Source organism: Homo sapiens, chromosome 14, assembly GCF_000001405.40.
Source record: "Homo sapiens chromosome 14, GRCh38.p14 Primary Assembly".
Lineage (NCBI taxonomy): Eukaryota > Metazoa > Chordata > Mammalia > Primates > Hominidae > Homo > Homo sapiens.
Window position 1 is genome coordinate 61,800,297 of NC_000014.9, and position 23,156 is coordinate 61,823,452.

At 43.1% G+C, this 23,156-nt stretch overlaps 1 protein-coding gene across 10 annotated transcripts in view; it reads left to right on the forward strand.

The window, feature by feature from the left end:
* The first annotated feature begins 11,865 nt into the window (after nt 1–11,865).
* SYT16 (synaptotagmin 16) overlaps nt 11,866–23,156 on the forward strand; it is a 300,664-nt gene continuing 289,373 nt past the window's right edge. For 9 of the 10 annotated variants that reach the window (NM_001367661.1, NM_001367659.1, NM_001367657.1 and 6 more), the window contains exon 1: nt 12,407–12,514. Coding sequence is in view for 3 of the 10 variants with exons in the window: in NM_001367652.1 (NP_001354581.1) it covers nt 12,502–12,514 (13 nt within the window). In the remaining 7 variants the exon portion in view is untranslated. Of the gene's footprint in view, nt 12,043–12,406; nt 12,515–23,156 lie in introns of those variants that run through there. The other variant, NM_001367650.1, reaches the window with a different exon arrangement.

Sequence of the window (23,156 nt, forward strand, 5' to 3'; positions counted from 1 at the left end):
CATTTCATGGATTTGTCATTCTATTCATGGATTTGATGGAAATGATAATGATGGCAAACACAGTCGTAAATATTTTAACTTCATAATGTAAACAAGTAATGGCAAAAATGTTCACTTGGCTGGACATGGTGGCTAATGCCTGTAATCCCAGCACTTTGGGAGTCTGAGGCAGGTGGATCACCTGAGGTCCGGAGTTCAAGACCAGCCTGGCCAACATGGTGAAACCCTATCTGTACTAAAAACACAAAAATTAGCCGTGTGTGATGGCACGTGCATGTAGTCCCAGCTACTTGGGAGGCTGAAGTGGGAGAATCACTTGAACCAGGAGGTGGAGGCTGCAGTGAGCCAAGATTGCACCACTGCACTCCAGCCTGGGGGACAGAGTGAGACTTTATCTCAAAAAAAAAAAGAGAAAAGAAAAAAAAAAGTTCAGTTGATGCAGCATTGCACAGTGGAAGAGTATCAGACAGCGTGGATTTGCTCTGAGATTACAATCTGCATATGAGACGTAATAAAATCTACCTGTAAGTTAGGGATGGATATATCCCATTTTATCCTCTTCCATCCTTTGAGATATTGTCATCATATTTTACTGCTATGATATAAACCCCATCATACAGTTATATTCTTACTTTAAATAAAGGAAAAAATAGGAGAAAAAGCTGTTACATTTACCCACATGGGAACCTTATCCACTGCTCTTCATTCCTTCATGCAAATCTATGCTTTCACCTGGGACAATTTTCCCTCAGCCTGGAGACATTCTTTTAATTTATTGAAGCTTAGTTCTGTTGGAGATCAATTCTATCAGATTTTGTTTTTCTGAGTCTTTATTTAACCATTTTTGAAGGATATTTTTCCTGGATTTGAATTCTAGGTAGACACCTCTTTTCTTTCATCACGTTAAGGATTGTTGCATGTCTTCAGCCTTCATTGTTTCTGATGAGAAGTTTTCATTCTTACCCATTTTTTGGTATATAACACGCCCTTTTTCTCTGGCCACTTTTAAGTTTTTTTTTTTTTTTTTTTTTACTTTATTTTCAGCCATTTGCATGATGTGCCTAGTGCAGTTAATTTTTCCAGTATATTGTATATGTTTTTCTGTACTGGTCTCACTTGCTTCTCTTTCTAGGACTCCAATTACATGTCTGTTAACTGCTTAATACTGTCCCAAATGTTATTGTGGCTTCCTCCCACACCCCCAGTAATTTTTCTCTCCGTGCTTCAGATTGAATGATTTGACTTGTCTTCAAGTTCATGAATTATTTCTTCTTTTGTATTCAATCTGCTGTTAATCCCATTCAATAACTTTAATTTTAGATGTAGTATTTTTCAGTTCTAACATTTCTCCTTGGTTCTTCTTCATGGTTTTCATATCTGCACTGAAATGTCCCATTTCTTCACCAATTATAACATTTTTTGCTGTAGGTTTATACTATTTTATAGATACTATAAATTTATACTGTAGGTGCTATAAGTTTAGCAAATTTAGCTACCTTGAAGTGTTTGCTAGTTTCAACATTGGGGGCATCAGTATGTCTGTTTCCCCCAAAGAGTATATCTGTTTTTATTGACCGATTTATTTTTTTATTGACTGTGGTTTACATTTTCATGTTTCTTTCCCTGTCTACTAATATTTTATTGTATGATAATACATGTTAGGGACTCTGAATTCTATCACCTTCCTCTAAAGAGTGTTGAGTTTTGTTCTATAAGGCAGTTAAGTTATGACAGAGCATCTTATACTTAAAGGGGCTTGATTGTAGGCTTTGTCAGGGTGGATCTATTCAGCTTGATCCTTAGTTTTAGGGCAAATCCCTTAGTCCTGGAAGTGGTCCCTAAATCTAAGGTGTGGGCTTTTTGAAGTTTAATGGAAACCGTGAAGTGTTTGCCACATCACTCTATTCTTGCAAGACTTGAACTTTGAACTCAGGAGACCTTTGGGTGGTCAGCTGCTGAAATACCCACTCGGGACTTTCAGATTTCTAGCTCTTTGCCCTAGAATCATGGGGGTTTTTGCCTTGCTTGCAGCCAAAGATCTGAGGGGATTTTATACACAGATTTTGGAGTTTCTATGATTGCTCCTTTTAGGGATTTCCCATCTTGACTTCTAACCACTCTGACAGCCCAAACTCCATTCTCTGACTCCTCAGATAGGTAAGACTATGACATTCTGCCTGAGTCCTACCTGCCCAGTGCCATGGACAGGGGAGTGCACTCAGGTAAAGTTGTATAAACATGCATATCTCCTTTACAGCATTGAATCCCTTACAGTTGCTATCACGGAAAGTAATCATTAGGTGACATCCCCCTATTTACCCTGAAGTTACTGAACCATCTTCCCTGGATTTGTGCAGGGTGTCTCCTAATTTACGAAGATTCCAATTAGATTGGGAGTATGACTTAACTCATTTAAGTCACCCAAATGCTATTTGATCATAATTTAGTGTCTTGTTAACCTAATGGCTTGAAATAAATTGACGCACTTCTGAAAATAGGGTAAAAATCCCTGATTTTTCAAGGAGGCTAATCTTCCGTAAATGCTAAGCACTATAGAATCAATTATGTTATTAATTTGCTCTTGGTTGCAAGCTACAAAGCTTGATCAGGCTAATTACAGATTATGCTCTGAGGAAAATATTTTTATATGCACTATTTTTTTCTTGCAGGCACTTTAATATGAGGTTTTAAAAAACCTTACTTAAGACAAATAAAAAAGAAAACCTTCATGTAATTACTTTACCTGCAGGCTAATTTTTAAATACTTCAACACCGTAACAATTAAATGGGCTATGTTAGCTTCAGTTGACAACATTTATTTATTTATTTATTTGCAATGAGACCTCATAATATCCACCAGGCTGGTCTCGAACTCCTGGGCTCAAGAGATCCTCTTGTCTTAGCCTCCCAAATAGCTGGGCCTACAGGTGCCAGCCATTCTGCCTAGCTAGTTGATCACTTTTAGGGAAGGCAACACCCACAAGATTTGTTGGACCTGAACTTCTTATGGTGTGTCTGATTTTAAATGAAATGAATTTTGCTAAAGTCTCACAAATGGTTAACTCTTCTGCCTTTATTACATGTTTTAAATAGTTGATTTATCTCTTAGTTTCTTGCAGCATAATTGGTATATTGCTTCTCTTGCTAACATGTCATTTTACTGTAGGTGGTTAACTGAATGTATTCTCTCTGTAAATTTCAACAAGTTGCTCATAAAATTTTCCCAGCAGAAACTTTTTGTTTCGTATTTAAAAACTGAATACACTGTCCTTTATTTAGAGAGTGTATGTTTGGAAAATCATCCTGTTTATTTGTAAATAAAGATGAACCAGCCAGTCACAAGATATAGTTTGTCTTGTTACCACTTAAAAAAATCCCTTATATTTACAAATATAATTCATTCACAAAACTACCCTTGATAGAATTAGGACTAAATTGCTTTATAATGTTTCTGGATCTCCATAATTGAGACTGAATTTCCTCAGAAAAGAAAATGAAGAATATAGAGTGACTCCTCAGGGTTGTCAAGTCAGAATCACCTTGTTCTTTGGTGGATTTAAATATGTTTTCTGATATAAAGTTTTAACAAAATGAGGAGACTATCTCTAGCAATTTGTACAGGCTAGATGACTACAGGAAATGAAACCAGGCAGGTGTAGCCTACTAGGAAGGCCTCGTTTGGCCTGAAACTTGTGGTGCCAAGAGGAGATAAGTCCTGGCCTGGTCAATAGCTCCATCCATTTAGTTTTTAATTTTTACTTTTTTTGTTCTGTATCTGAGAGTTTATTTATATCTGTCTAGATACGTTTTATATTTTCTTGTTCTTTGATTAGCTTTTCAGTTTCATATTTTATTTCTTCAAATATTTCAAGCATAATTAATTTACATCCTGTATATTAATTTCAGTATCTGCAATTCAACCAGTCAGTCTATTATTTGTTGTTTTGCTGATTCTCACTCTTGGTGATTTGTATCCTTGTTGTATTTGGTGGTGATCTTTATTTGGAGCTCAAATTTTCTTATACTGAATCCTGTGGATTTAATTTGGGATGCTCTCCTTTAGAGAGGATTTATGTTTGATTCTGCTATGAGCCAAGAATACTATTGTTCTGATACCTCTAAAGTCCTTTGAGTCCTTGGAATCTTAGGTTACACTCCAAGTTTGATCTTTTGATTTCAGGAATTATTAGATGAACTCTGCTTCATTGGTTTCTACTCCACTTGCTTAATATCCTACTGCCTCTTGCTCTGGTTTCAGCTAATTGTTTTGTTTTTCTCCTTGGAGATTCTGCTACTTTCTGGTGAGCACAGGAATGCATTAACCTTTTTCTTTAGTAGTATATTCAGGAGGGATGAGAAGGCCCTTTGAAAATATCTGTCTGTCATCCTGCCAGAAGTGGAAAGTCCTAGTGGGTATTAATTTATCAGAAGAAGAAACAAAGGCACAAAGATGGCATGTAGTATGCTTAAGATCACAGAGCTGGTGAGTAGTGAGGCTGTTATTGGAAGCCATGTGGTCTGGCTCCAGAGCCTACGATTTTAACCACCACACACGAGTCTGAACCTCAGTGGATATTGTATAAGTATTGCAAAGAATACATTCATGTAGAGCCCTCATGAATGTGATTAGTGCCCTTATAAAAGAGGCCCCAGAGAGACCCCTTACCCCTTCCACCGTGTGAGGTGACAGGGAGGAATGGACCCTTGCTGGGCACTGAATCTGCCAGCTACTTGATCTTGGACTTCCCAGCCTCCAGAACTGTGAGAAATAAATTTATGTTGCTTACCAGCACCCAGTTTACTGCGTTTTATTATAGCAGCCCAAAGAGACTAAGACAGTTAGTAAATGAGGACTTAATTATAGAGAACTGTGACCAGTTCACTATCTTCATGGAGGATAAAAAGAAGGATAAGAAGACTTTCAAAATAGATATCTTTAATTAGATATGAGTAAGATATTTTAAAAGTTTGTTAACACTAAATTTGTTTCCTAGTGGCTACTTGTCAGCATTTAGTGGCTCTTCATTGTAGATAGAGAAAACTGAAGCAGAAACTCCTAGGTGTGAAATTCCAGGTCTCCAGGCAGTTTTATTATTCTGTAACCAGCTGCTGCTACCTGAGCTAGGTAAGTATTAGATGTATTAGGATGTATTAGAAACACCCGGCTAGCTCATGTGCGGATTACAGTGTCCCATTGCTGGCTTCAGATCCAGTAAGTGTTGGTTAGGGGCTAAAAATCTGCATTTTTAACAATTTTCCAGGTGATTCTGGGCTGGGTAATCTGAGGCTTATACTTGGTGAAAGCTGGCCTAGGCTTGTCTTTGGCAAAAATGGAGATTTATGATAATGCATTCCTGGGTCCCTGTTCTCTCTCTCGTCCAAGCATACTTAACCCCAGGGTGAGTGTGTCTTGCTTGAGACTGTTAGTGTTATTTCCATAACTGTGTACTTTTTGGGCTATTTTTTGAATGACTGCTAAAAAGTCCTTTTTTTTTTCTTTCCCCCAAGACAGAGTCTTGCTCTGTCACCCACACTGGACTGCAGTGGCGCAATCTTGGTTCACTGCAACCTCCACCTTCTGGGTTCCAGCAATTCTCCTGCCTCAGCCTCCCATGTAGCTGGGACTACAGGCACACACCACAATGCCTGGCTAATTTTTGTATTTTTAGTAGAGATGGGGTTTCCCCATGTTGACCAAGCTGTCTCGAACTCCTGACCCTCAAGTGATCCTCCCGCCTTGGCCTCCCAAAGTGCTGGGATTACAGGCGTGATCCACTGTGCTCAGCCTAAAAAGTACTTTTTAAAAATAGGCTTTATTTAGTGACAATAAAAATATCAATAGAGTATTCACACATATGGCTTTGAACAGTACAGCCATCCGTTTGACCTACTTGTCTGCCTAGTCTACAGACTCTTATTTTTCCCTGAAACTGGTTATTCCCACACTTAATTCTACTTGTAAATTTCTACCTCATAGATTCCTTAACTACTCGCCTTGCCTGTACGTGTTCAGACAGCATAGGGACAACTTGGAGTGGGAGACAGGCAACCATAAGCCAGTGGTTTTCTGGGTTTAGGTCACTGAATTTCTCCAGTCATTGTTGGAAATTTAACCATCAAACCTAGGCCCTGCCTTCCACCTTCCAGACCAGAATTCTACCTGAGTGGCCCTGTCTTACTTCTGTTCATTCTCCATATGACTTGCAAGGATTAAATCAGAACGTAATCCTATTTATTATCTAATGGCTATTTTTAAGATCCTATAATTTTTATTACCATATTCTATGTCATATTTGAATGTTCTGAAGTTCTTGAGTTCAGAGGCTTAGGAAATATACAGAGATACTATTGCAAAGAGATATAGACACCTAATGAAACTCAAAGATAAGTTCTATAAAAACAATTAAAAAATGCCTCTCCTTTGGTGTCAGATAAAATGCTCAGTAGCTTGCAGGCCACACGCACAGCTAAAATAATTTTTCCATTTCCACCTACGGCAACAAAGAAAAAGCAATAGCTATTTCAACCAGAAATAGTCTCCACGGTGACACAGACCCACTCAGCATGTGGCTGCAGCCCTTCACCCTGCCTTGCTCTCATTTCTTGTTTATAGCCGGAGTGTTGATATAGTCAGCAGGATGCGGTCATCAGCCAAGGGTCAGAGGGCCTATACAGTAACTTCTGTGCAGTTGTATAAAAGGTCTTTGTCCTACCTTATTCTGGAAATTAACTTAAGCAATGTGAATGGTGACATCTGAATTACAATTATGGCAAATAAGTCAGAAGAGCCCTGCAAGAATCATAAATTATCTTTGCTGAAGTTTTTTTTTTTTTGTTTGTTTGTTTTGGTTTTTTTTTTTGAGAGGGAGTCTTGCTCTGTCACCAGGCTGGAGTGCAGTGGCATGATCTCAGCTCACTGCAATCTCTGACTCCCTGGTTCGAACAATTCTCCTGCCTGCCTCAGCTTCCCGAGTAGCTGCGATTACAGGCACGTGCCACCACGCCCAGCTAATTTTTGTATTTTTAGTACAGACAAGGTTTCACCATGTTGGCAAGGCTGGTCTTGAACTCCTGACCTCGTGATCCGCCTGCCTCGGCCTCCCAAAGTGCTGGGATTATAGGCTTGAGCCACCGTGCCTGGCCAGCTAAAACATTTTTAATGCAATTGTTCAGTCTTGCCCTTTCTCTGTCCCAATCTCTATTATGTATATACAGTCCCAAGAGCTAACATTCACCCAGACCACCTGAGCCTGTCCTCCTACCCTTCATCTTCAAGGTTTCCAGGCCCTGGGCATTCTCCTCAGCATTCTCCCTCTTCACTCCTGCTGTGGCTTCACTCATTTCTTCCAACCCCCTGAGCCCTATGGCTGGCTATTTTGGGGACACAGTAACCCAGAATTCAATTTCCATTTGCTTCCACTACCTGCTTCCAAATGGCTGCCTTGCCTTCTGCACTTCTGAGGTCTAATTCCAGGAGGGCCCCCACTGCTGGCCGGAAGTCCTTCTCTTCTATTCATCCCTTTCATTTCCTCTTCCTAATAGAGACATCTTAAAACCTCTTCCATGCTCCTAAATCCTCAAATCCACCTCTTCCACTTCCTTCTTGGCAACTAAGCTCAGGTCCTATATTGTAGAGAAACTTGAGACCACATCGCATGCCTGAGCTCCCTCAACCTCCCTCTTCATAAAATCCTTTTGCATCATAACATTCTCTTTCTCTACTTATGTTTCTGAGACTGAAAATGGTTCGTTTATCAAAGATGAAATTCTCTGCCTGTCCTGGCCATGCTGCCACTAACACCTGTTCCTACCTTTCTTTGCATTTTATTTTTGAGACAGAGTTTCCCTCTGTTACCCAGGCTGGAGTGCAATGGTGTGATCTCGGCTCACTGTAACCTCCGCCTCCCAGGTTCAAGCGATTCTCCTGCCTCAGCCTCCCAAGTAGCTGGGATTACAGGCTCCTGCCACCACGCCTGGCTAATTTTTGTAGTTTTAGTAGAGATGAGGTTTCACCATGTTGGCCAGGGTGGTCTCGAACTCCTGATCTCAGGTGATCTGCCCTCCTTGGCCTCCCAAATTGCTGGGATCACAGGTGTGAGCCACCACGCCTGGCCTTTTCTTTGCATTTTAGATCTTTCCTCTCTAGTGGCTCTTTCCTCTTGCTTCATAAGTGTACTGAAGAAATCCTAGCTTGCTATGGAGTTATGCATTTTTCATTCCTGTTACATAATTTCACGTATCATATGGGTCTCCCCATCTCTAACTAAACTTTACTATCTCCGGCCTTAGGTGTGGAGGCAACCAAAAGATCCAAAATCTTGGCTTTTGAATTTCAAAGGTGAAGGTCCAAATGTAAGACACAGAGATTTGCAAGAAAGCAGGATGTTTCAAGAGTGAGTTTTCCAGCCTGTTAGGAGATAGGTTTCCTTAGCCATGGAGAGGGGAAGGGACATAAAGGACAGCAGTGAGGCAAGAGTCTGCCGAGGGTATACGAAGACGATGGCAGACACTGACGGTGGGCCAGGCAGTCATTCCCACCCCCTTCTTCCTTGTTGGCAGAATCCACTTTGTGCCATAAACGCTGAAAATAACAGATGCTTGCGTTCCCAGCCTCCAGTGCCACCAGAATGGTGGAGAAGGCCTTTGAGGGCTTTTACAAAGATTTCTTTCTCTGATAAAAAGAAAGAGACGAGGCTGGGCGCGGTGGCTCACGCCTGTAACCCCAGCACTTTGGGAGGCTGAGGTGGGTGGATTACTTGAGGTCAGGAGATTGAGACCGTCCTGGCCAACATGGTGAAACCCTGTCTCTACTAAAAATACAAAAATTAGCTGGGCATGGTGGTGGAAGCCTGTAATCCCAGCTACTCGGGAGGCTGAGGCAGGAGAATCACTTAAACCCGGGAGGCTGAGGTTACAGTGAGCCAAGATCACACCACTGCACTCCAGCCTGGGAGACAGAGTGAGACTCTGTCTCAAATTAAAAAAAAAAAGAAAAAAGAAAAAAAAAGAGTGAGAATGACAAGGAGGAATATCCCCCTCTCCTACCAGATTTGGGAGATTTTGTGCTGCAGCAGCCTTACTGCCGAGGAGGAAAGTGGGGAGTCCAAGTTCTTATGGGCGTTGTGGAGATGCTAAATCAACCACGGGTGGATCCCTTGATATATAACAAGGTGTGTTATTGTTTAAGCCACCTTATGCAGTTACATGGGGCTGAAAACATCCAATACCCCTTCTTAGAAAAGCATCCCATTGTCATGCATTGGCTGGGAGGTGGTAGAACTTCCAGATAGGCTGGGGAAATTGAGCCATAAGGGGACCTTTGTCTCATGTCACATTAAATGTCTTGCTTGGTGGTCCATCATGCAGAGCTCCCCTCCACCACATAGTAAGGGAATGGTAAGAAAGAAATGGTTGTTTGGCTTGTTAGAAAAGGCCTGAGACTCCACAGATCTCACTGTTTTCTTAGAATGGAATGGGTGAGTAGCCAAACTTGTCCTCTCCAGAGCAACAGGAAAGTCAAGGAGAAAAAGTCAGACCTGAAGGGGCTTTGGTGTGGAGGAGAAGACAGAGTGGTGGCTGCCACCCACACTCATGGCTGTGGAGGTCTGACGAGCTCTGAGGTCCAGACAGAAGAGGTACCTCCCAAAAGGGACAGATGGGGCCTGATACCTCTTACCATCCCTGATGCTACCCAACCTGTCCTTCCAAACATGGATGCAACCCCAAGAAAAAATGGGGAAGGAAAACTCTGAATTGCCTGAGAAAAGCCTGAATCGATGTTTACCTTGAACTGAGTAAAATCAAACTCCCTAACAATGGGTCTAATAGGGGCTTGGGCCAGAAAGTTAATTTGGTTATAGAAAAGTGAAAATTTATTCTTTTATATATTAAATACTTGAATATGTGTACAGAAATCTATCTTAAAGCAAAACAAAACAAAAAACCCATCTTATCTTGATCCTGCTCTCTTCCAAAGCTCTCCATCCTCTTTCATTCCTTCACCATTAAACTTTTTAAGAGAATTATCTATGCTTGGGGCCTCCGCCTCTATGAAATCTACTTGTTCATTAACCCCTTCTCATCTGACATCTGGTGCTATGCAAACCTGCTATCCAACAGGTCCATTATTCAGAAATCATTTATTGAACATATCCTTTGAATTGTCATTTTTTTTCCTTTTTCTCATTTGGAAAAGCCAGTTTGATTAATGCATAAGGAGCCTCACACATGTTCCACTGACCCTTCAATTGAATCCAAGCCCAACCCACCCTTTTTGCCCTCACACCAGCTTAACCTCCTGGTTTGTGAGCTCCAAACAGGTTGAAGACTCCAGGGTCATGTTTAATTCTTTTTTCCTTTAACCTCCTGGTTTGTGAGCTCCAAACAGGTTAAAGACTCCAGGGTCATGTTTAATTCTTTTTTCCTTTTCCCCATCCAACCCACTTCCAGAGTGTTGGCTTTTGGGTCTACTGCAGATGGTTGTTGTGAAAGACAAATGAACCAGGTCTCTGTGGTTCTTAACTAGAAGTCTGCTTCAGAATCACCTGTGTTAAAACAAATAAAGGCTAAACACAATTTAAAAAAAGGACACCCCTAAGTGCTACTCTAGGTGGACTGAATCAGAATGTGGAGCCTGATCAGAATATTCTCTCCCTCATCGTGCTCTGTGAACTGACCAGAGAGGACTCCTGTGTTGTTCTCTGGCAGTTTTCTGTCTGCCTAGCCACGTGGGAGCTAGTGGATAGGCAGACGGGAGCCTTGCTCCTGAGTCTTCTCAGCATCCAGCCCGGGGCTGATTGGGTTGAATGTGCATCTCCAAATGCATCAAATGGATTGTATCTTTGTATTTTTATTTTATTTTATTTTTAAGACAGGGTCTCATTCTGTCACCCAGGCTGGAGTGCAGTAGTATGATCTCAGCTCACTGCGGCCTTCACCTCCCAGCCTCAAGTGATCTTCCCCCTCAGCCTACTGAGTAGCTGGGACCACAGGCATGCACCACCAGCCTGGCTAATTTTTGTTTTATTTTTTCTAGAGACAGGGTCTCACTATGTTGCCCAGGCTTGTCTCAAACTCTTGGGCTCAAGCTATCCACCTGCCTAGACCTCTCAAAGTGCTAGGATTACAGGCGTGAACCCGGCCCTTTTTTCTTCTTTTAAAAACTAGGGACAGGGTCTTGCTCTTTCACCCAGGCTGGAGTGCAGTGGTGCAATCATAGTTTACTGCAGACTTGAACTCCCGGGCTAAAGTGATTCTCCTACTTTGGCCTCCCAAAGTGTTGGGATTACAGGCTTAAGCCACCATGCCTGGGCGAAATGTATTGTATCTTTAAGAAGTATCTAGCCTGCCATGTAATTTAGGGGATGTGTTTGAGCCATTTGATCCTTCACATGATGGATCTGGTGGTGGAGACGGGGGTTTCTAATGTACAACTGTCCCCTAATATATTAGGTTGGTGCAAAAGTAATGGCAGAATAATCCAATAATCCATCAGAAATTGGTTTTTGGACTTCAAGAAGATGTATACAACATCATTCTGAACTGACAGCCTCAGTTCAGAGCCCTCCTGAACCACAATGGCCTGTGAGGCACAAGACTCCGGCTCACTCATTCGGCCTGGTCCACTTACTTACTCTAGCGTCCATCCCTAGTCAGTGGCAGGGCTGTAGTTGGCTATGATCATGTATCAGTTGCTCATCCAGTGGACGTCCAATCAGTTAGTTGGCCATTCATTCATTCATTCATGCAGGCATCCAGTTATAAAGACATCCATTCACCCACTCAACAGAAATCTGCTGAGAGCCTACTACGTGCTGGGAACTATTTTCACATCGGAGACAAAACAGAGGGTGACATGAAGAGCACGGCCCACTTGGAGCCTACGGAGATGGCGTTGAGCGGTTTCGCAGGAGAGCTCCTGCCCCGGAGGATTAATGCCCAGCACCTGGCTCATCCTCCCCACACCCCTAGCTCTTCTCCCGCTTTGCTCCTTCCAGCTGGGGCTGAGCATGGGGTCCCAACCCCGCTGGTGAGAAGCTCGAGGTAGGGATGAAGCGGAGAATGGAAAAGGTGACTCGAAAACAAGGATATAGCGGGAACGTTGTAGGAAAGGTGGCGTGGAGAGGCGACCCTAGCGTGGCCGGGAGCGTGTTTCCAAGTTGCGGCGAGCATCCTCTTTGGGGGAGGGGCGGGAAAGGAAAGGAGGGGAGGGGGACGGACGCGGCGAGGCGAGGAGGGGGAGATCCAGCCTCTAGGCGCCGCAGCTCGGCCGTTCTGCCCGGGAGGCTGGGCTCTCAGGACGCCGGCGGCGGCCGCAGGGCTGGCGGCTGCTGGGCGCGGGGCGGCGCGGGGCGGCGCGGCGCGGCGGGGGCGCGCGGCAGGAGGGGCTGTGCGCGGCGCGGCCCCCGAGCGCACCGGGCCTGCCGAGGAGCGCGCGCCCGGCCGGGCTCGGCGCCGGTTTCCCGAACCTGGGCGGCCGTCGGGCAGCCCCCTCGTCCGACCATGGCGACTGACAGTGAGTGCGCTCCGGCCGCGGAGGCCAGGGGTGGGGGGAGGCCGCGGTGCCCAGGGTGGGAAGTTCGATTTCAGACGCTGCCTTTGTGCTGGCTCGCGGCAGCAGCGGCCGGGTCCCTCTCCGCTCCTCACCCTTGGCTGCCTGGCGGGGCTTGAAAGGGCAGGTGGCCCTGGCGGCGCGCCCCGCGAGGGATGTGGCAGAAGGGCGTGCGCCTGGCGCCGAGGCGGAGGGACCCTCGATGCCGTGTGGCAGCGGGGCCTGCCATCGCAGCCCTTCGCGGGCACTGCCCCCAGGCCCAGAGCCAGCCTTCAGCGAGCCGGGCAAACGAAGGCACTGCGCGTTTTTGGCGCTGTGAGTTCAAGGTTCGCCTCGAGTTCTGGGTCGGGTTTGTGCGTCTGCCTTTTGGGGATCAGGGTGGCTTGCATGGCTCGGCTGCCCGGTGGCCCACGGGCTGTATTCGCAGCGGGCAGCACAAGGCCGGCTGGAGACCGCATCTGGTTACCATGGTCAGTGGGTGGGAGGAGTGCCTGGAGACATCAGGTTGAAACTCTGAATGGAAGCGTTGGAAGGCGCTGGGTTGGCCTGCTTTTGGCATCTTGGCACCGCTGCTCTTATGGCTCAGTGCCTTTGGAAATTGGAATCCCGTCTGTGAAAACTGGTTAAGTTAGTTGCGTTTGAAGCCAGATACGTATTAGTGAAGCTTCAAAGGGAGTTCAGAGTAAAACCAAGTCACACCTGCGTACCTAGCATCCAAAGTCCCTAGCACAGGTGTGGCGCATGTTAGGGACTTCATTAGATGAGTGAATGGGGCTGGATGTGCTGGCTCAGGCCTGTAATCCCAGCACTTTGGGAGGCCGAGGCGGGAGGATCACTTGAGCCCAGGAGTGCGAGGCTGCTGTGAGCTATGACCCTGCCATTGCACTCCAGTCTGGGCCACAGAGGAAAAAAACAAAAATCAAATGGTGTGCTGGCTACAGAGGCCCTTTGGAAGGTATTTTTTTTTTTTTTTTTTTGAGAGGTGAGGAGGAAAAGAGATGGGAAAATGAGATGTCAAAATTTCTGCAATAATTTATTATTTTTCTTGTAAACAATCATCCCAGCCAAGAACACAGCTTTAGGATAGTGTGGAGAGCTTGAGTTTTTGTAGTCAAACAGACCTGTATTTTATCTCTCTAGAATTCCCTAGCAGTGGGACCATGGCACTGTCCTCAGTTTCTCTAAATTAGGACAAGGCTGTCATTCATAGCTCTTACAAGCGATGGGCACACAGGTGGCCTTCAGTAAATGGTGGTTGTCCTCTCCCTGCTGTTTTGCCATCATCTGATATGTGTGGGGATACCAACATGCTTTCCTCCTTTTTAAAGAGAAAAATGTTGATCAGGTGTTTCCAGTAAAATCAGCTAATTTGGGCCAAATTTCCCTTTCCTCAGCTCTGTTCATTTATACAAAGTGTGATTCCATTCGTGTGTGTGTGTGTTTAGAAAAAAAATTATGGTTGAAGCTTTACTTAACAAAGTAAGACTCAACAAAGAAGGAGATCATGAGATTTGGCCTTATTGTGTTATTAATGAAAAACAAAGGCAAAGGGGTTCAAAGTATCTACCAGCAACTGTGCATCACACACATGCAGTGAGACACTGTTCTGCTATTTACTTTCTTATGTTTTGGTTAAGATGATACATTTAGTACCCTAGAAAAATAAACTGAGATGCTTCCATACCAATTTATTTAGATTGATGTTTCTTCTACTTCCTTATATGGTATACTCAACTGTACTGAAGAATCAAACTTTTGCCCATTGATTTTGTTTATGAAAAAATTATGATGATATCTGACCATCTCAGCTCTTGACCAGTTTTTTAGGCTCAATCTTATGTTCTTTCTTAGCTGAGATGGAGCTAGAAATCTGAAAGGTTTCCAAACTGTGGAGAAACATTATTTTGTCTTTTTTCTTATTCAAAACTAATGTGAGAGGCTTACTATGTGTCCCTACTATCAAAAGGGAGAGAAGGAAAGTATTCTCAGTCAGTGTCTTGAAAAATTTCCCGCAAAGCTTGACCATGTTTGCAGCCCGAAGTCCTACAACCTTCTGTTAGCATGGAGATGATTTTGAAAACGTAGAGCCCAGGGCTTCTCCCAGATACAGAATTCTTTAGTTAGCTCTGGTTCTTAGTCCTAGTTGCATATTAGAATTACTCCAGAGAGCTTTAAAAAAGACCCTGACATCAGTATTTTTAAAAAGGAGGTCTTAAACTTTAACATGCATCAGAGTTACTCAGAGGACTTATTCAAACAGATCGCTGGACTTCACTCCCAGAGTTCCTGATTCAGTAAGTCTGGGGTGCATCCTGAGAATTCACATTTCTAACAAGTTCCAGTGATACAGGAACTACTGTTCCTCTGTCCTTCTCCTTACCTCTGCAGGTGAGGAAGTGACAGGTGAGAGGGAGGTAGGAACAGAGTGATGATCACTTCTTTAGCAGTCCTGTCTTGTCACCATGCAGTGACTACATGACCTCGATAAGATAAATCAAACCTGGGCACAATATTGCCTTAGGGCTATAGCTGAGTGCTTCCCTCAACCCCCATTTTTCTCCCCCACAAAATTTCCCCTTGAGGGAAAAATTGGTTCTAAAACCAGGCGAAATCCAAGTATTCTATTCCAGTCATTTCTGGAGAGAATCCAGAAAGACCTTCTATATGAATGTAGCATGTAAATTATATAAAATATGGAGATATTTTTAAAATATTTGCCTGGAAACTTATAATGTTCACAAAAAAGAACATAGCCAATAGAAAATGTTCTTATATCTAGATAGCATGCTGTCTAAGGGCAGATTCCAGAGGAGAAAAGGGGAACTCGAGAGCTTCAACTAGGTTTTCAGTAAGTTATCATGAAATCGTGAGGAACTTTGAGATCCCAGTCTGTTATATAAAGTGGTGGTACTTGGGTACTGAACTATTTCATGATTTCCTCAGTGACAAGTATTCCAGATAATATTTTGTTTCCAGAACACAAAAGTAGTGAAGCGCTATTTTATTTTTTTATTCCATTTATGGCATATGTTGCATTATTAGTACTTCCTTTTATAGGTGTTTAGTTTTGAAGTCACTTTAATCTGTTTGTAAGAATAATTTCTTAGGATCAGCCAGGCATGTTTAGGTAATGTTGGAAACATCTAACTCTATTATACCCCAGAAATCTTGGGCAGTTTTCAGGTGGATGTGTCTTTGGGGCTGTGACAGATGAACATTTGGTATTGTAAAAGGAGACATCTGTCCCCGTTTGGGTGCTCCTGGTTTCCTGGCTGATCTTGTGTCATTTTTGCCTGTTGCATCCCAGGCTGATGTTCCTGCCCTGCAGTCAGTCTCCACCAGCAGCCACTTTTTCCCTCCTTCTTTCTTGTTGGCAACCTGCAGTTTCCTTTCTCCCCATCCTGTCTACTCCATCAGCAATTTCCACTCAGTGCTCAGTCCTGGAAGAGGGTGGGTGGGGGTCGGGGATCAAATATAAGCCCTCAACAAGTCCACGTTAGAAACTAGTGCTAAACAGTGACTTGAGATATTCAGGATTTCAGATGCCTAGACTTTAAAAGAAAATTGCTTCACTTTGGCTGAAAATGGATGGAAAATCTTGAGTTAAATGATTTCTAACCCTAGTCATTATTAAAAAGTTTACAAATGATGCCAACTAAAAAATATAGACAAAGAGAGTTAGAAAATTACTACTTTGAAACCATCATAGCAATAATTAATTCAAGCAAGATTCATCCATGGATGCTGAACTGTTATGTGAAAATTTTAAGAGGAACAGAATTATTTACATTGTTAAAGAATTTCCCCCAGGACAACCCATTTCTTTAGGATCCCTCTCTGCTGCAGAGAGCTCTTTCTTTCTTAGTTAAGAACTTCCACTCTTGGCCGGGCGCGGTGGCTCACGCCTGTAATCCCAGCACTTTGGGAGGCCGAGGCGGACGGATCACGAGGTCAGGAGATGAAGACCATCCTGGCTAACATGGTGAAACCCCGTCTCCACTAAAAATACAAAAAATTAGCCGGGCGTGGTGGCGGGCGCTTGTAGTCCCATCTACTCGGGAGGCTGAGGCAGGAGAATGGCGTGAACCCGGAAGGTGGAGCTTGCAGTGAGCCGAGATCCTGCCACTGCACTCCAGCCTGGGCGACAGAGTGAGGCTCCGTCACACACACACACACACACACAAAAAAAGCATTTTCCCCAAAGATTATTTATTAATTGGAAAATGGGGGGAAAACCTGGAGTATACGAACTTAACCAAATAATCAAAGTTAACATTAACAATAATGGGGCTAGTTGCGGTGGCTCATGCCTGTAATCCGAGCACTTTGGGAGGCCGAGGCGGGTGGATCGCCTGAGGTCAGGAGTTTGCGACCAGCCTGGCCAACATGGTGAAATCCTGTCTCTACTAAAAATACAAAAAATTAGCCGGGTGTGGTGACAGGCGCCTGTAATCCCAGCTACTTGGGAGGCGGAGGCAGGAGAATCTCTTGAACCCAGAAGGTAGAGGTTGCAGTGAGCTGAGATCACGCCATTGCACTGCAGCCTGGGCAACAAGAGCAAAACTCCATCTCCAAAAAAAAAAAAAAAAAGAATAATGGGACAAACTGATATCCTGTACTTCCTGATAGGAAGCACCGGGAAGGACACAATGCCACTTACTGTGCCACAAATGTATAACCTGGTTCTGATCACGAGGAAACATCAGACAAAGGCAAATCAAGAGACATTCTGTAAGTCAGTGTCATGAAAGATGGCTGAGGCACTGTTCAGATTGAAGAAGACTAAAGAGACCACTAAATGCAATGGATGATTTCAGGTTATATCCTAGATGAGGGAAAAAATGCGACAAAGGACAGTGTTGTGATAATTGGTGAGATTTGAATATGGCTTGTATATTGGATAATAGCATTGTATCAGTGTTAAATTTCTTAAATTTGATATTTTTATTGTGGTTGACATGGGACATGATATCTGTACCTAAATGTCAAAGGCTTTAGGAAAAAAGGATATATGCATGTATGTGTGCATTTATATGTATATGTGTATCATATGAGAGAGAAAGCAAAGGTGGCCGAAGGTTAGCATTTGGTAAATTTAGGAGTTCCTTGTGCTGTTCTTGCAGCTTTTCTGCGAATTTGGGGGAGGGAGTTTATAAATGAAAGCACTGAGCTATTAATCTGTATTCTAGGCTTTATGGTCTAATACTATTGAGTTTACTTTTTGAAATAAATAACGTTGGACTCCTAATTCTGTTGTGAAGTGATAATGTTAACAAAACTTTTTATTAGGGAAAATTTCATATACACAAGAAGAGAGAATAGTATAGTGAACCCCCATGTATCCAGGTCACATAGCTTTAATGAGCGTTGGTATTTCACCAGGCTTGTTGCATCCATCTCCACCTCCACCCCCACTTTTCTGGGAGAGGCATTTTGAAGGCAAATCCAAGACATCATGATGCTTCACTGCCCCTCTGTGCATACTTCCCTCCTCATAATCCCCAAGCTTTTATCAGACTTCAGTAGCAATTCTGCAATAATAGATGACAGCAGCCAGGCGCGGTGGCTCACGCCTGTAATCCCAGCACTTTGGGAGGCCGAGGCGGGTGGATCATGAGGTCAGGAGTTTGAGACCAGCCTGATCAACATGGTGAAACCCCATCTCTACTAAAATTACAAAAATTAGCAGGGCGTGGTGGCACTCATCTGTAATCCCAGCTACTTGGGAGGCTGAGGCAGGAGAATCGCTTGAACCTGGGAGGCGGAGGTTGCAGTGAGCCGAGATTGCTTCACCGCACTCCAGCCTGGGAGACACAGTGAGACTCTGTCTCAAAAAAAAAAAAAAAAAACAGCATTTAGATATTATTAATGTTATAGAATAGCAGAGTTCTGAGGAATGTACTGATTTGACATATATGGGCTGTGCACTTGTTTTAAGTTTGAAAAGCTGACTAAGCCTGGGTAATTATAAACAGTGTAGAAGAAAAGGTCTGTGAACCTGCTTGTTCTTGTTTTGTTTGCTAAACTGCTCCTCCTGTTTTTAAACCAAGAATTAAATTCTAGAAGAAAACATAAATATGGTTATGGTGGCAATATTCTCAACTGATTTACCCAGTTGATGTTATCTTATTGAAACATTCTAAGAGTAAATCAGCATAAATAATTTCATACTGTTTGAATAGAATTCCTATGTTTTCATTTCACCATGGCATCTTTGAATTGGTAAACCCAGTAAAGCTTTTTCTTGACCAACCTGAGTTTCTAAATGAATCTAAAATTTGGTCTATATGTTTTATAAAAGAAATGGGACAGACATCTTGGGAGGAATAAACCTTCCCTTCTCCTGAGTATAGTAGATTTGGATGACATTTGTCCTTTTAGATCACTAGGGTATTATTTAGTCATTAACTATTATTTAGCATTATGAATGATAAGATGGCTATTATGCCATTTAACAATTGTCTGTATATTAAGATGATAATCAAACTCACTGACAGTGCTTTCTAGTAGATTGGAGAGGTATCTGAAGTGCATATTACAAAAAAAATTTTATGCACAGCTGTCATCCTTCCATTAAGGATTATACATATCTGATTTTAGGTAGTTTACATTTATGGATGGATATTACCCCTTTAGAATAAAATTTTCTTATTGTGAGAATATAATATTCTTCTGGCGTCTAATTTTAGGAATATAATAAGTCACATTCTATAATTTTACTCACAATGGAGCAAAGATTAAGAGACATAAAATGATTTTACCCACCCTGCATGAAAATGCCCCTGGTTTATATACTTAATTCAAAAGAGCACCATACAGATAACCTACCAATTACAAGGAGGTTTTCAATTGGCTTAGCTCAATAGAAATTGCAAAAGATTGAAGAACTGAGTGTGGTATGGTGGAAGAGAGCACAGGCCTGGTTCCAGAGGTGCCTGAGTCGTGAACTCTGGTCCTGCCACTCAAAGGCTGGGTAAGAGGTAAATTGTTTAACTTCCCGGAGGCTTTGTCTTATTCCACTCTGAGGAATTACAAGGAGTAAAAGAGATGGAACAGAGTTGCTGGCACAACATATGCATTAATAAATGTCTGTCCCTTTACCTGCTACAAGATCCTTCCAATGGCGTGTACCTCCCCATAGGGTGTACCTCATATTATGAGAACAATCTGACTCAGAAACAGGGTGCCTAGTCATTGATTCCATTTTTTGTGTGTGAGGAATATAAAATTAAGAACAAATGATCTGTGTACAAATGTAAGACTAGGGAAGAGAATCTAGGACAAGCACCCAAAGGTGCAGAACTCAGATTTTAAATAGAAGTAATAATCATGTTTTCTTCCCCAATGTTTATTGTTTTGTGCAAGTGTACTTGTACCATGAGCATGTGGATTTGTGAAATGTGCACACACACAACTTGTAGAAACCTTGGGAGAATTCACTGATGGGCTGTGAAAAGGGCTACAACAGCTACCTCTTTGATTTAAGAGGCAAGAGGGTTTTGAGCACTTCTCCGCTGATGTGCATTTGGCGATCTCTCTGGGCTTCGTGGCCTACCCCTCTCAGGAATGACTGATGGATGGCTATAGCACTGGGCGGATATGCTTCAGGGCACCTCTTCAGAGTTTTTTTTTTTTTTTTTTTTTTTTTTTTTTGAGACGTAGTCTCGCTCTGTCGCCCAGGTTGGAGTGCAGTGGCACGATCTCGGCTCACTGCAACCTCCGCCTCCTGGGTTCAAGCGATTCTCCTGCCTCAGCCTCCTGAGTAGCTGGGATTACAAGTGCCTGCCACCATGCCCAGCTAACTTTTGTATTTTTAGAAGAGACAGGGTTTCAGCCTGTTGGCCAGGCTGGTCATGAACTCCTGACCCCAAGTGATCAGCCCGCCTCAGTTTTCAGAGTTGAATGCCCTCCTGGCTCTGAAGTTTTATAAAAGCCCCTTCAATGATGTTGATAAGCCTGAAAAATTTCTGGCTGTTCCATTATTGAGCTTTAAAAAAGCTTAATATGCTAGTAATACTCATACATAAATGACCTTGTCTCCACTGGTGCTGACCTTAGCCATCCAGCCCTTCCTTCTGGGAGTAGCCTTTCTCTGTCTCAGACATCTGCTCTGGGATCCTCCCACTGCCCATGTTGACATTCCCTGTCTCTCTTGCTTCCCAGCTCTTGCTCTAACTCCCCATACCTGCCAATATGCTTTTCCCTTTGGTTTCACTATTCTTGGTATTTTGGCTGAGACACACCAGCTCTATTAGTGTCAGGTTTGCAGAGCCCTCAGCCGCTGGGCTGCCTTCAACAGCCCTCCCCTTCTTCTCCACAAGAAAAAGGTAGAGGATGACCCCTCTCCCTTAACCCCTATCATCCTATTTCTTAGACTTTTTAGAAGTGCATTACAATATCTTTCCTAACTAGCCCAAATCAATTGTTAGATTTTAGTGGTGATAATTAGAATCACAGTCATATTTTCTACAGTGTTTTTTAAATACTCCCCTATATTTGTTATCTATTGCTGCATAACAAATTACCACAAAGCTAGTGGCTTAAAAAAACACTTATCTGTCATTCCACAGCTCTGTAGGTCAGGAGTTTGCTGGCTGCAATCAAGGTGTCAGCTATGGCTGGGCTTTCATCTGAAGGCTTGAGTGGGGCAGATCCACTACTGAGCTCATGGGCATTGACAGGATTCAGACTCTTGCAGGCTGATGGACTGAGGGCCTCAATTTCTTACTGGCTTTAGCTAGAGGCTACCCTCAATTTCCTTCTATGTGAACCTCCCAGTATGGCCTCTTGCTTCATCAAAGCCAGCAAGGGAGAAAGTCTGCTAGTAATAGAATCATGCAAGTGACATTCCATCACCTTTGCTGTATTCTCTTGGCTAGTAGCAAGTCATAGGTTCCTTCTTAACTCAAAAGGAAGGGATTAAACAAGGATGTGAGTACTAGGAGATGAGGATAATCATAAACCATCTTAGAGTCTGTCTGCTATACTCCCCATGAAACTTTTATATCTACTTCTTCAATTAGATTTTTATTTGGAGTATTACATTTCCTCTTTAAGACTTTAGATATCATTGGGATGGTGTACTAGTCAGGGTTCTCCAGAGGGACAGAGCCAATAGGATATATCTATAAAAATGGATTTATTAGGGGAGAATTGGCTAACACGATCACAAAGGTAAAGTCCCAGCATAGGTCATGAGCAAGCTGCAGAACCAGAGAAGCCAGTGGCATGGCTGTCAGAGAGCCTGGTAGCATGGCTCAGTCCAATTCCGAAAGCCTCAAAACTGGGGAAGCCAACAGTACAGCTCCCAGTCTGAGGTCAAAAGACTGAGAGCCTCTAGGAGCTTGCTGGTACAAGTCCAACAATCCAAAAGCTGAAGAACCTGGAGTCTCACGTCCAAGGGCAGGAGGAGAAAGTCCTGCTCTGGCAGGGAGAGACAGAGCAGAGGGTGGATCCCCCATCTTTTCCCACACTCCTTCTTTGTCCTCGTGGGGCCACCAGCCAACTGGATGGTGCCTATCCATATTGAGGGTTGGTCTGCTTCTCTTAGGCCACTGACTCCTGCATCATTCTTCTCTGGAAACACCCTCACAGACACATCCAGAAACACTGCTCACCAGCCATCTAGGCATCCTTCAATCCAGTCAAGTTGACACCTACTGTTAACCATTGCAGGTGGTAAAGCCTGAAATAACTGCCTCCGTCAGAGAAGAAATTGTTCTCTTCTTTCCAACCTGAGAGCTGTTGCACTGTAGAAACAATGGCGCTGGAAGGGTAATTTTTGGTGTTTGAGCTGCTATTGGGGAAGTCCATCTGAATAAGAGGCTGCTGTGGTGAGCTCTGAAGAAGCAGAAGGCAGTATGCTTTGTGAATTTTATGCAAATGTTACAGATTTATAAAAATGAAAACACTCAAATTGTCTCATTTTTGGAAAAATTAAAAAACACAGGAAGTCAGGATGATGCTCTGAAACTCAGGTTGAAAGTGGGTAAAGGGCACAGAGTGAGACAAATGAGAATTATACCAAAGAACAACTGTTTTTTCATGGGAGAAAATGGATTGTTTTAGGGTACCTTGCCAATGTGTGAGGCATTATATGGGCATAGGGTATTACTTAAAGTTTTAAGGCTCTATTTTTTTATTTTTTATTTTATTTATTTTTTGAGACAGAGTTTCATTTTTGTCGCCCAGGTTGGAGTGCAGTAGCACGATCTCAGCTCACTGCAACCTCTGCCTCCTGGGTTCAAGTGATTCTCCTGCCTCAGCCTCCTGAGTAGTTGGAATTACAGGTGCCTGCCACCATGCCCGGCTAATTTTTTGTATTTTTGTAGAGGCAGGATTTCACTGTGTTGGCCAGGCTGGTCTCGAACTCCTGACTTCGTGATCCTTCCACCTCAGCCTCCCAAAGTGCTGGCATTACAGGTGTGAGCCACTGCGCCTGGCCTATTTTTTTATTTTTAATTTGTTCTTAAGAGACAGAGTCTTACTCTGTTGCCCAGCCTGGAATGCAGTGTAAAGTTTTAATATGCTTATGTTGTATACTCTTAATGATTTTATCCACTTCAGGCTATTGCTTTGCACTTACGAAAAGCATGATAGAGGCTGG